The sequence below is a fragment of the Homo sapiens genome, chromosome 9 (assembly GCF_000001405.40).
Source record: "Homo sapiens chromosome 9, GRCh38.p14 Primary Assembly".
In the NCBI taxonomy this organism is placed as follows: Eukaryota; Metazoa; Chordata; class Mammalia; order Primates; family Hominidae; genus Homo; species Homo sapiens.
Window position 1 is genome coordinate 92055169 of NC_000009.12, and position 13908 is coordinate 92069076.

A 13908-nucleotide genomic window follows, 5' to 3' on the forward strand; every position below is an offset into this window, starting at 1 on the left:
TGAGCTGTGTTCACACCACTGCACTCCAGCCTGGGCAACAGAGCAGTCTTGATTACTCTTTGAAGGCCAGCACTGGCATTCAGTGTTGTTCTTCTTCCCTGATCTGAGCAAAATATGCTTATGAGGCCTAATGCGCAAAGCAACGCAGACGTTATACACTAAAAGCGGTCATAAACAAAAGGCACATCTGTCAAATAGTCCAAATATTAAAATTACAGCTGAACATGGTTGCTTACCAATTCTGGAAGAGGACAAATAGTTCCAGTATTCATATACAATCCTTCTACTACAATGAAACGCCGAGTTACACGAGCCTTGCGAGGATTCTTTAAAAGAGAAAAAGCAGACATCTTACATTTCAGTAACTCTGAAGACAAGATCTGTTACATATTCCCCAGCACTTTCACCTTACAAGATTTATTCCTAAAAAAATATTCTGAATGAATTGAAAGCTCAGTGTTTGTGATGGGTTATTTTGAGATGAACAACAGTACTATCTTCTCTCAGACGTTTTTCAGCTCACAGCATTAGCTAGGTGACCCGCCACACACACAAACTAATTAGGCCCTCTGAGAATATTAAAACACAAACAAAACCCTCCAAACCTCCAACTGGGAAGGGGCCTAAGGGACTTTCTAAAGAAATGGGAATGTTTTACATCATAATGGGGCTGACATTCCTGGGTTACATGGGTATAATCACTGGTCAAAATTGTATGGCTGCATTCATGTGATTCAATGTCTGTCAATTTTACCCAAAACAACTATAATGAAGGTCATCATCATGAAGATGGGGTGAGGAACAGATGGCACAAGAATGATGTAATGCTGATAACAAAGCTGGGAGAAGGGTACAGGGGGCTTCACTATACCACTGTGTTTCCTTCTTATATGTTGGCATTTTTCCATAACAAAAAGTTAAAAAACTCAAACCGTTTTCCTTCACCTCCCAAAAAAAGGGGCAACCCTGTTCCCTCCTCACTCCCCACTGATGTATTATCGGATCAAGTAAAATTTGACTATGAGCTTGTCCAATGATGTTCCCAGGTGGTGGGGTAGAGAGGTCTCCTTTTCTTTTTTTTGAGATGGAGTCTCACTGTCACCCAGGTGGGAGTGCAGTGGCGCCATCTCTGCTCGCTGCAACCTCCGCCTCCAGGGTTCAAGCAATTCTCTGCCTCAGCCTCCCGAGTAGCTGGGATTACAGGCACCCGCCACCACGCTCAGCTGATTTTTGTATTTTTAGTAGAGATGGGGTTTCACCATGTTGGCCAGGCTGGTCTTGAACTCCTGACCTCTTGATTACTGACCTCGGCCTCTCAAACTGCTGGGATTACAGCTTTGAGCCACCACGCCCGGCAGAGATCTTTTCAAAAAACACACACCTTCACACACTCTGCTCAGAGCAAGTCACTAATAAATCTCCCACATGTATGAAACTGTACATGGTTCAGGTGTGTGGGACTGCAAAAAATACTGAGATCCACAGATAGAGTTTGCCATTACCTTCTTACTCAGAGATCTCTTGCCTCTAAGTTTCTGCTCCAATGGACAATTAGAAATGATCAGAATTAGAAAGTATCAGAGCAATGCTTTAAGGGGTATTTTACAACCCACAGCAGTAGCACTAAAAAAAAAGTTTGTTGAGGAATAAAAAGTACATATCACTGATGTTGCTCAATCATCTTTACTCTGTCAACTCACAACTGAAAGCTGGGGAGCTAGCAATATGTTAGAAGTGATGGATGAAGAGATGCCACCCTAATTTCTACACAGGGCATGCTACCTCTGCCTGTCTTTAAGGAAAAACATTTTCTTAGATTTAAAAATATTCAATGTAGGATTCTTGGGAAATGGAAAAGTACAAAAAACAATTAAATAAATCAGCTAATCATACCACACGGTGATAATTTTTGTCTTTCTTGTATAAACATATAAATTACTTTGTTCAGAATCAGGATTTTACTGTAGTTTTAGGACCTGATTTTAAAAACATTATGCTGTGAGCATTTCTAAATTATTTCGGATTACATGATTTTAATGGAGACGTTCTGCCTGTGAGTATACCATAAACTACTTATTTCCCTAATGTTGGATTTAGTTGTTTCCTTCATTTGCTTTTTCATATCACAATATGAATATCCTTCAAAATGTGACATCATTTCTCGTAAGTTTTTAAAGACAGCACCACAGGAATGGGTCAAAGGGCATGGAATTACTTGGATCCTGGAATGTATCTGCCCATTTGCCTTCCAGAAAGGCAGTGCCAATTTAAACTCCTTCCAGTGTCATAGGAACACTCTTTGTCTCACCACATCTGTGTTAGCACTGACTATTACTATTAAAAACATGCCCTAATTTAACAGGCAAAACTCCTAGCCTAATCTCCTTAATTATTAGTGAGGCCAGGCTATTTTTCACTTGTTCATAGTTATGTGTATTCCTTTTATGAACTACTGTTCATATCCACTGACCATTATGGGAACCCTGTAGGAAAGGGGATAAAAAACAATTCATGAACCATGGCGCTTGGAAAATGGACAAAGAAAACATTCAAAGTGTTAACGACCAGATTATTTATGTGAAAATGAAACTGAAAATGAATATTTCTAAAAACCAAAATGTAGAGTTACTTAGAAAGCCTGCTCTCAGCAAGAAAAATATAAATTAGTAAAAAAGTAAAAATTATAAAGTAGAAATAAGTTTCAAGATATTTAATTTTACTTCTTGTTGCTCATTTAAAAAAAAGTTCTATGGCTTACAGATCTTGTAGAAAAAGAGCACATACAAAACTTGAATCTGATGTTTTCCAAATTTATACAATACTAGGCAAAACAAATGGCAGCAGACTGCAGTTCTAGTACTGAAAACAGACTAGCTTTCTATTACTGCATCATCATAAGAAACATCTTTTTATACTTTGTAAAAGAAATTAATCAGTGGAATGGGCTGTTTTCAGATTTTGCCTATAGATTTTTCTAAATTGTGTAAATGTGAAATGTTAGCCTAGAGCAGAGTTAGTATAAAATGGCAAGATCATGCATATTCATCATGAGAATGTGTATATTCATGAAGTGATGCACTTAGGCTGACACCTAAACAAAGATGACAGAATCCTAAATGAATAATGCAAATATTTGGAAAATTGAAAATTAACACAAAATACACAAAATTAAGAAATGTGATGAGCATTTTTATCATTTATTCTAGTTATGACTGAGTTGCACTGGCAAAGTCCACTTGAAACTGTGTCTGAGATGAAGACACACATCATGGTGTCCTGCTCAGAACCACAGACCTGAGCTACTTTACTTACCCATGTCATCAGGGGAAAATAAATTGTAATTTTAACAATGATGCTCTGAACACACTTCCTCTGTTTCACCCTAATCAGAACACCAAGGAGCTACTTCCAAACCACCATCACCTGGGTTATGTTAGGTTCTCGAGAGGAAACAGCTGAAAACAGGGCTGCAAGCTGGAAGGAGACCATGTTAGGGGCAGTCATTTCCCACAGGCAGTAGCTGCTCAGAGCAGGATACAGGTGGGGTGGGGAGAAAGGGCTTCACTTTGTTCATATATTAATATAATAAGCTTGCTGCCATTCTTTCCTCATGTAATTGATACATGATTTATTCTGGTATGAATAAGCCTATTCTGAATTCACTAGGTACATGTCATTAAAGGCCTAGTAAGTTTTGGTGTCATTATGCCCAGCTATGAGTAGACATCTCCCTGCCTCACTAAGCACATGCTGTTTTTCAGCCTCTCTTGATCTCTCAGAAAGCTGCTTGGATTACCTCCCTCCAATTTGCTATATGTAATTACGGCAATGACAAGGCAATTACAATCAGACTTGGCTCTCCAACACCAAGTACATTTAATAAGCAGGAACACCTTAATATCCAAATGTGATCCACAGGCAAGTTTTCATGACAAATTACCATTTCATATATAATTTAGCTGGTTAGAAAGTACAAAAGAACTGTATAATTTTCTTCAAAAGAATCATACCTTTTGATCTTCGATCTCTTGTTCTTTTAGTAGTCGCTCGAGGTCAGCCATGTCATTATGCTTAAATAACTTAATGTCACTACGGGATGCCTGTAATCCTTTCTGAATAGCAAAGCAGGCAGCTCTATCTCTGCAAGGAAAAGAGATCCACCAAATTGGGTTTAAAGGGTCTTGTCAACATTCTCAAAAAGGAATGCTTGTTTTTGTAAGCTGACCAATCACTGATTGTTAACATGAGCATAGCAAATAAATAAAACATGTTTGAATATTTATACATCATTGTTTGCTCTTCATCCATGAGTCCTTTTCACATAACTACCATATTTAATCTATTCCAAGAAGCACACTCTCACTATATATTAATCTCTCTGAAATTAGCATGCATCTTACTATGGATGACATATCAGTTTATTCACATACTTTTCTCTTTCTAAGAAACATAAAATACTGGTGTGCCTCACCATCAGTGGCATCTCTGATATGACTGACACATTACTCTGCCATTATTTTGCCCTGAGAAGTAATACTGGCAGCCCAGCTAGACAGAAAACTTTTAGACAATGACTATTCTACTGTAGCCAAACACCACAGAAAAAAATGAGGGGTACCCAGCCCCATCTATGTCAGCAAAGGCTGAGAAGGGAACTTAGACTTTGACCCTCGAGAGGCTGTAACAAGGCGACACACCTCCTAGGGTGTTGTCAGGGAAGGCCAAGTAGGAAGCTGAGCCTTTTATTCCTATCAGTTGGTAACAAGTGGACCCCCTCCACCCCCACTGTGGTGTCAGCAAAGAACACATGGAGAGCCCTAACTTCCACCTGCACTTGGGAGTAGTGGGCACCCTCCCCATCTCCTCCTGGGCAGTGTCACAGGAGGGCGAGTGGAGAGTCAGGACTATTAGCATCACCCAGCAGCAACAAAGAAACCCCCAACGATGTCAATGGAGGCCGAGTAGGGCCCCTGAATTGTTCCTCCTCCTGGCAGTATGAGGCAGCAGTCCCCTAGCCCCTTCCCCTGTTGGAATCATGTCAGAGAAAGCCAAATAAAAGAGATGGCTTAAACTAGACATGGACTACAGCGGCACAATATGAAAGTGTCTAGGTTTCCATCAAATATCCCTTATATCAAGAACCAGAAGATATCAAGTAGAATGAAACAACAAATGCCAATAGTGAGATGACAGAGATATCAAGATTATCTTACAACAATTTTAGAGCAGCCACGATAAAAATATTTTAATGAGCCACCATGAAGACACCTGAAGCAAATGAAATAATAAAAAGCCTCAGTGATGAAATGGAAGATACAAAGAAGAGTCCTACAGAGATATCAGAACTGAAAAACTAAATTACTAAAATAAGAAGCTTAGTGGATGGGCTCAGCAGCAGAATGGAGGCAGAGGAAGGATCAGTGAACTGAGACAAGCAATAGAAATTATTCACTGACAGCCGGGCGCAGTGGCCCATGCCTGTAATCCCAGCACTTTGGGAGGCCAAGGCGGGTGGATCACGAGGTCAGGAGATCGAGACCATCCTGGCTAACATGGTGAAACCCCATCTCTACTTAAAAAAAAAAAAAAAAAAAATTAGCTTGGCGTGGTGGTGGGTGCCTGTAGTCCGGGTTACTCGGGAGGCTGAGGCAGGAGAATGGTGTGAACCCGAGAGGCGGAGCTTGCAGTGAGTCAAGATGGCGCCACTGCATTCCAGCCTGGGTGACAGAGCGAGACTCTGTCTCAAAAAAAAAAAAAACAAAGAAAAAAGAAATCATTCACTGAGCACAACAGGAAGAAAATAGACTAGAAAGAAATGAACAGAGTCTCAGGGACCCATGGGATTATAATAAAAGACGTAACATTTGTGTCATTGGAATTCCAGAAGAAGAGAAAGAGGTGGGGAGCTAAAAAAGTATTCAAATAAATAATGGCTAAAAACTTCCCAAATTTGTCAAGTGGTTTAAATCTACAGATTAAAGAAGCTGAGCAAAATCCATACGGACTAATGCAAACAAATAGTTGCCAAGGCACATCATAGATGACTTCTGAAAACAAATGACAAAAAAAATCTTGAAAGCAGCCAGAGAAAAATGACACCTTATACATAGAGAAAAACAATTTGAATGACGGGAGATTTTTCATCAGAAACCAGACACCAGAAAAAAAGCATCACAATGTGTTTCTAATGCCGAAAGAAAATAACTGTCAACCCAGAATCCTATAACCAGCAAAAATATCCTTTAGGAATGAAGGTGAAATCAAGACATTCTCAGTTAAGAAAAATGAAGAATATTTGTCACTAGCAGACCTACCCTAAAGAAATGGCCAAAGGAAGCCTTCTAAATAGGAAAAAAGCCATAAAAGAATACTGTTAGATTATCAGGAAGGAGGAAGGAGCACAGTAAGTAAAAAATATGGGCAAATACACTAGGCTTTTTTTCTCCTCTGGAGTCTTCTAAATTATTTTGGACAGTTAAAGCAAAAATTAAAACACTGATGTGGTTCTCACTGTATGTACAGGAAATATTTAAAACAATTATAATGTAAATGAGGCAAATAAAGGAATGTAAAGGAAGGTAAAAGTTTCTACACTTGAATTGGTACAATGACACCAGTAGTCTATTATAATATATGTGTAATGTAACACTCAGAGTAATGACTAAAAAAAGCTATACAAAGAAAAAGTAAATTCTAAAAACATGTTCAATTAGCCCACAGAAAGGCAGAAAAGAGAAAATAGAGAAACACAAAGTAGAGTGAACAAACAAGAAACAAAAAGCAAAATGGCAGACTTTGTTTTAACAGACTTAAACTCTACTATGTCAATAATTACATTAAATGTAAATGTACAAATACATGATTTAAAGACAGGCAGGTAGAATAAATTAAATAACATGACCCAACTATATGCTGTCTGTAAGAAACTCACTACAAATATAATAATATAGGTAGTAAAAAATACAGATTTATACACACAACTATGTAATATAAAAAATAATAAAAAGGGTATCTGACAAAGTAAACTTTGGAAGAAAGAAAATTATCAGAGTGTTTGCTTTGGCAGCACATACACAAAAAGTGGAAAATTATCAGAGACAGAGAAGAACATTATGAAACGCTAAAAGGGTCAATTCATCAAGAAAACTTAGTAATCCTAAATATGAACTAAACAAAAAAGCTAAATTTGAGATGCAACCACTGATAAAACTGAAAGAAATAGACAAACCCACAATTACAGTTGGAAACTTCATTATCCTTCAACAACTGATAGAAGAACTAGACAGAAAATCACCAAGACAGAAGAACCCAAAAACACCATCAACCAAAAAGACTTGACATTTATAGAACACTCCACCAAACAGCAGCAGAATACACATTTTTTAAGTGCCCATATAAGATATTCCAAAATAGACTACCGTATTAGCCATAAACCAAACTACAACAAATTTAAAGTCCCCAAACACCTGAAAAGTAAACAATACACTTCTAAATAATCCATAGGTCAAAGGGAAAGTGTAAGCTGGGCATAGTGGTGTGTTTTTGTAGTCCCAACTACCCAGGAGGCTGAAGCAAAAGAATCCATTGAGCCCAGGAGTTCAAGGCCAACCAGAGCAAAATAATGACACCCTATTTCTTAAAACAAAACAAAAATGAACTAAATACAAATGAAAACACAACACATCAAAATTTGTGAGACACAACTAAAGTAGTGTTGAGAGGGCAATTCATTGCACTAAATGAACATTCAAGAAAAGAGAAAAAGTTTCAAATTAATAATTTAAGCTCTTACCTCCAAATCAAGAAAAAGAACAAAATAAACCAAACGTCAGCAGAAGGCAGGAAATAATAGGAGAAATCAATCAATGGAACTGACAATAAAAATACAATAGAGAAAAACAATGAAACAAAGAGCTGATTCTTTCAAAAGATCAATAAAATTGACAGACCTCTAACAAGACTGACAAAGAAAACAGGAGAAAAGGCACAAATTACCAATACCAGGAGTGAAACAAGGTATATAACTGTGGACTCTGCAGACATCAGAATAATACGGGAATACCATGAACAGCACCACACATGTACATCTGACAACTTTTAAGAAATGGACCAATTCCTTGAAAAACACAAACTACCTCAATTCACTCAATATGACAGATAATTTGAATAGCCTGATAACTACTAAGGAAACTGAATTCAGAATTAAGATACTTGCAAAAAAGAAATCTCTCCAGGCCCAGATGGTTTCATGGGAGAATTCTACCAAACAATTAAATAATTAAAAGTAATTCTATACAAATAGCTCCACAAAATAGAAGATAGAACGCTTCCCAATTGATTCTGTGAAGTGTTATTCTGCTACCAAAACCAAAGTAAGTATCAAAAAAAGTGTATTATAGGACAATCTCCCTCATGAACACAGATTCAAAATCCTTAACAAAAGACTGGCAAATCGAATTTAGCTTTTTATAAAAAAAAAATTATACCCCATAACCAAGTGGTATTTATTTCAGGTATGCAAGGCTGGTTCAATATTTGAAAATAAATCAATGTTATCCACCACATTAAGAGACTAAAAAAGAAAAATCACATGATCATATCAACCAATACAGAAAAAGTAGTTGACCAACCAAATTCACATTGATTTGCAATGAAAATGCTCAGAAAAAAAAGATGAGGTGCAGGAAAGTGAATGTAATAAAGAGCATCTGTAAGAAATCTGCACGTAACATTATACTTATTGGTGAAAGAGTAAACGCTTTCTAATATCAGGAATAGGGCAAGAATGTCTTCTCTTACTACTTTTAACACAGTCCTGGAAGTTCTTGCCAGTGCAATAAGGCAATAAAAGGGAATAAAAAGTAAGTAGATTAGAAAATAAATAAAACTATTTACAGATGACATGACGACTGTCTACATGGAAAATCCTAAGCAATCTAGAAAAACAGTTCCTAGAGCTAATTAAGTGAGTTTGGCAAGGTTGCAGGATACAAGCTCAGCACACAAAAAATCCACTTCATTTCTATATTTTAGCAATGAATACGTGGACATCAAAATTTGTATTTGCAAACCACATATCTGATAAAGAACTATGATCTAGAATGTATAAAGAACTCTCAAAACTCATTAGTATAAAAACAAATCATACAACTAGAAAATGGACATGAAAAGACATTTCACTGAAGAGATGGCAAATATGCACATGAATGGATGTTCAACATCATTAGCCATCAGAAAAATATAAATTTTTCTATACACCTATCAGACTGGCTAAAAAAGTAGTGATAACACCAAATGCTTCTGAAGATGTGGAGAACCTTGATCATTCATATCTTGCTGATGGGAACATAAAATGGTATAGACACTTTGGAAAATAGTTTAGGAGTTCCTTTAAAAACTATGCAATACTATAAACATAGCAACTGCATTCCTTGGCATGTATTCCACAGAAATAAAAACTTATGCTCACATAGCATGAATGTACATGAATGTTTAGAGCAGCTTTTTTTTTATAACAGCACAAAGCTGGCAACAACTCAGATGTCTTTAAAAGGTAACTTCAATAACAGTGGTACCTTCATGCCATGGAGTAATACTCATCAATCAAAAGGAACCAACTCTGGATACAAGCAACAACTTGGATGAACCATCAGAGAATTACGCTAAATGAAAAAAGCCAACCCCAAAGTGTTGCCTACTGGATGATTCCATTTGTATAAAATTCTTAAAATAACAAAATTAACAAACAGAACAGATTAGTGGTTGCCAGGAGTTAAGGAGTGGGCAGATGGGAGGAATGTGGATGTGGCAACATGAAGGATCCCTGTGGCGACAGAAATGTTCTGCATCTTGACAATGACAAAGTCAATATCCTGGCTGTGAAACTGTTCGTTTTGCAAGAGGTCCTCACTGGAAGAGACTTAGTAAAAAGTACAAAGGATTTCTATATTATTTCTTACAAGTGCTTTTGAATCTACAATTATCTGAATGTAAAAAGTTTAATTTTAAAAAGATCTGTGAAGCAGCATGAACACATACTTAGTGGAGTGATAGGACAGACTTAAGTCCATGAATGACCACTGTGCTGAGCCCCACTATTGGCAAAGCATTAACACTGTTTACTGAAAGGAAGGAAATGAAGCATCACACAGTGTCTATGCCTGACAAATTTATCAAAACCAATTTACCAAACACCATGTTTACCTCTAGCACTCCTACATTCAAACACATTTCAGGTAGAGTATTTAAAATTACGTAGCAGAATAAACAGGTTAGCAACTCACTGGAAATGGAAATTTTAAGACACTGGGCATAACACATGGAAGTGAATTTAGCCTATGTTTCCTAGCAGTTAAAAAAAAAAACACAATGTAGTATTTATCAAAGGAAGCATAGGAGTTCACCAGTAACCATCAACTTTTTCTGGACTTTAAAAGAATTTATAGTGGGGTGCTTGTGTATAAAGTGACACTGAATGACACTGCAGCTGTCTGTAACTCTGCTTTTACTAAAAACCTAGAAACACTGTTTAAGTCAATGGCGCTTCAGTTAGTGATGAGTCTTTCACATTATTTTTTAAACTATTTGCCAAAAATTAATAAAAATATTCATTTTTATGGTCACATTAGTATACTACTTAGACCCAGGACATTTGCTGTAGTGCTCCTAGACTGCTGTAGGGCTATAGTGAGGAATGGGTCACATGTACTGCAGAAGCCCCAGGTAGAGTCAGCTCTGTAGTAATTATGATAGAAGGTTCTGTCGCTGCACAAGCGTTCCAACGGTGAGTGGTAAGCAAGAGGCCAGTGCAGGGCTTGAGGGATGCCAGGCTCTGCAACACAGTTATCTGGCCCCTATTCTGAGCTCCAGCTTCCTTTCATTCATTTACTGAACTACTGTTTATTGACCATTACTAAATGATAAATACTATTCTAAGTAATGGGCTCCCAGCAAGAAACAGAAGCAAATAACCACACAGATATAAAATTATAAACTGTTACAAGCTCTACAAAAGAAAAGTACAGTAAGTATGAAGCAAATGAGCAGAGCAGGGTGCGTGTGAGAGAGTGTGTGTGTCTGTGTGTGGGAGGGAGGCTTGAGAAGCAGGGTGACCTTGACAGGCAGTTTGAGTGCTCGTGTGAGCATGGATAAACAAGAACAATAAATTCTCTCTGGCTGTAAGATTTTGTCCACATGCAGCAGGGGTCTTGACCTGCTCTGAGGTGTGGGACGGCCTCCCTGCAGAGGTGACGTATGTGAAGGATGAGAAGGTTAAGTAGGAGAAGGGAGGAGGAACAGTGTTCTAGTCAGAAAGAGCATGTGCGTGGGCCCCAAGGTGAGAGGACACTAGCATACAGGGCTGGCAAGGCTACAGCTTAAACACCTCAGGGAAAATGGTACAAAATCAGCCTGAAAAAGTGATGCAGAGCTCACAAGATCATACAAAGGACTTGGGTCTTTATTTTAGGAACAATAGAAGCTCTAAATTGTATTAAATAAAATGTGACAAAATAGGATTTACATTTTAAAAAGATTACTCTGGCTGTGATGTTAAAAAGGAAAAGAGGAGGCCAGGCACAGTGGCTCACGCCTGTAATCCCAGGAGTTCAAGACCAGCCTGGCCAACATGGTGAAACCCCATCTCTACTAAAAATACAAAAAATTAGCTAGGTTTGGTGGTGGGTGCCTGTGGTCCTAGCTACTTGAGAGGCTGAGGTAAGAGAATTGCTTGAACCCGGGAGGCGGAGCTTGCTGTGAGCCAAGATCACTCCACTGCACTTCAGCCTGGGCGACAAGAGTGAAACTCCATCTCAAAATAAAAAAAATTAAAAAATAAAAATAAAAAAAGGCCAGGTGCGGTGGCTCACGCCTGTAATCCTAGCACTTTGGGAGGCCGAGGCAGGTGGATCACCTGAGGTCAGGAGTTTGAGACCAGCCTGGCCAACACGGTAAAACCCTGTCTCTACTGAAAATACAAAAAATTAGCCAGGCATGGTGGCGCATGCCTGTAATCCCAGCTACTCAGGAGACTGAGGCAGGAGAATTGCTTGAACTTGGGAGGCGGAGGTTGCAGTGAGCCAAGATTGCGCCATTGCACTCCAGCCGTGGTGACAAAGTGAGACTCCATCTCACACACAAAAAAAAAAAAAACAGAGAAGAGGAAATTAAAGTCAATTTGAGACCAAATTTTAGTCCACTCATAGGACGACAGGGCTTGGCTTGGGGCAGCAGATGCTTCTGACTGGTTTAACCAGCTGCCTGGGGCCTGCCAGCCCTTGCTTGGCTGTACCCTGCCCTTCACAGTAAACCTCGGTAGCATGCATTCAGCACAGGCACGCGAGTGTGAAGATCCACTTGTGGGTAGTCAAAGAAGTGTCCAAGTCACGGCTCCTCTATCCTTAATAAGGTAGGAAGCAAGATCAGCTGAGACCAGGTGACGGGGTGAATGGGTGATGAGACATGGAGAGACTTTGCCGGGCAGTCTGACTGACAACGTGAGGTGGTGACCACAGACTAGGATACCACACAGCCACAGAGCTGCACAAAGAAGGCAGATAGCTGTCCTCATCTGGACATCAATAAATAATTACCATGGCAGATAAATGACTATAGACACCGTTAAGCATCTTTTAAGTGAAGGTTTCACAAATTTTGAAACCTTTGGTGAGGTGACTATTTCTTGAAAAACAAAAAGCAGCATTATTTTATGCAGATAACTTCTAATGAAGTATTTCTCTAAGACAGTCAGTATTATTTCAAAGGAACTGCTATTAGAAAACTACGTAAAGTTTACTTACACAAAAACAATGTCCCCTCTTTTAGAGTAAGCAGGAATAGCACTGGCTATGGTGGCAAATCCATATGAGTATATAATGGCTTCTTCTGTCTTCATAAATTTTGCCAGGCGGTCTTCCAAATCCAAATGAACATCTATTTCAGTTAAAAAAGTTAAATGGTTAAACTGCCTTATAATTCTTTTTCTCTACTAAAGAACAAATAAAAGAACACAAGCAGTATAATTATCAATACTTTCACCTTATGGCCAAAATGGAATTGTTTTTAAATGATAGATTATACAAGATCTATTAAAATAATTCTAGGCCCATACAACTTCTAAAATACATGAACTAAATCAGCTACGCATCTATCTGCAAAATGTGTTACTGGGGCAGTTCCAACTTCTGGTTATGCTTTGATATCACTCTACTGTAAGACTTCAAGGCCTACCAAGTTTCCCTGCATTAACTGTCCTTGACCAAAACCATTGAGGTCTCACCAATGTTTGATGTTAACTTATTAATGTCTGTTTGCATTTTAGCAAAAAGAACCCTGTATACTTTGCATCAAGAAGGTGACACTTACTAGAACTCCAGTAACCACTCCTCTAACAATCTGTGTCAGCATTTAGTAGTGGCACCTCCCATCACTTTCTGGGGCTGGGATTCTGTCTGAATTTCTTGTAAGTGTAATGAAGAATTCAAATTTATAGTACAAAAGGAAATATAGTCCTTTTATAGATGCACTGTAAGGAGGATGTTGACATAATAGTGAGGATAAATTATAATTATTAGACTGACATGTTTTATTTTCCTCTTAAATCATGGCTCCTTACAGCCTTTTACCTCTCAGACTGAACCATGAGGCTTCATGCCCTCGGACGGAGGACCAGTGATGCTTAGAATAAATAGGCCACTGGCCAGCTTAGAATCTTAAAACTTTAAAACAGCCTTAAAATGAGACATTATCAAGGAGGGAAAGGGATTTTAAAAAATTCCCTTAGCTCTTTTAACTATGGCAGGACCCAACCCTGGAGGACTAGATAACAGAGTTTCACCACAGGCCCTGTGTGGAGAGCGCTCGAAGAAGCCAGGCCCCTCCAGTCTTAGAGCGCTATGGGAGAAAGGAGGG

The 13908-nt window shown here is 38.4% G+C and overlaps 1 protein-coding gene across 8 annotated transcripts in view, besides 2 other annotated features; it reads right to left on the minus strand.

Annotated features, from left to right (window-relative positions):
• Window positions 1–13908, minus strand: part of SPTLC1 (serine palmitoyltransferase long chain base subunit 1) — an 84267-nt gene that overhangs the window by 24022 nt on the left and 46337 nt on the right. For all 8 annotated transcript variants that reach the window (NM_001281303.2, NM_006415.4, NM_001368272.1 and 5 more), the window contains 3 exons: window positions 12798–12930; window positions 4011–4140; window positions 237–326 (listed from right to left, as the gene is read on the minus strand). In NM_001281303.2, the coding sequence (NP_001268232.1) occupies window positions 237–326; window positions 4011–4140; window positions 12798–12930 (353 nt within the window). The remainder of the gene's footprint in view (window positions 1–236; window positions 327–4010; window positions 4141–12797; window positions 12931–13908) is intronic.
• Window positions 541–1161: an enhancer, noted in NCBI's record as "OCT4-NANOG-H3K27ac hESC enhancer chr9:94817991-94818611 (GRCh37/hg19 assembly coordinates)". NCBI's record gives its function as "activates a minimal SCP1, AML or CMV promoter by ChIP-STARR-seq in naive and primed H9 embryonic stem cells {active_cell/tissue: H9 hESC(naive and primed)}" and the evidence as "EXISTENCE:reporter gene assay evidence [ECO:0000049][PMID:30033119]".
• Window positions 3526–4380: an enhancer, noted in NCBI's record as "NANOG hESC enhancer chr9:94820976-94821830 (GRCh37/hg19 assembly coordinates)". NCBI's record gives its function as "activates a minimal SCP1, AML or CMV promoter by ChIP-STARR-seq in naive H9 embryonic stem cells {active_cell/tissue: H9 hESC(naive)}" and the evidence as "EXISTENCE:reporter gene assay evidence [ECO:0000049][PMID:30033119]".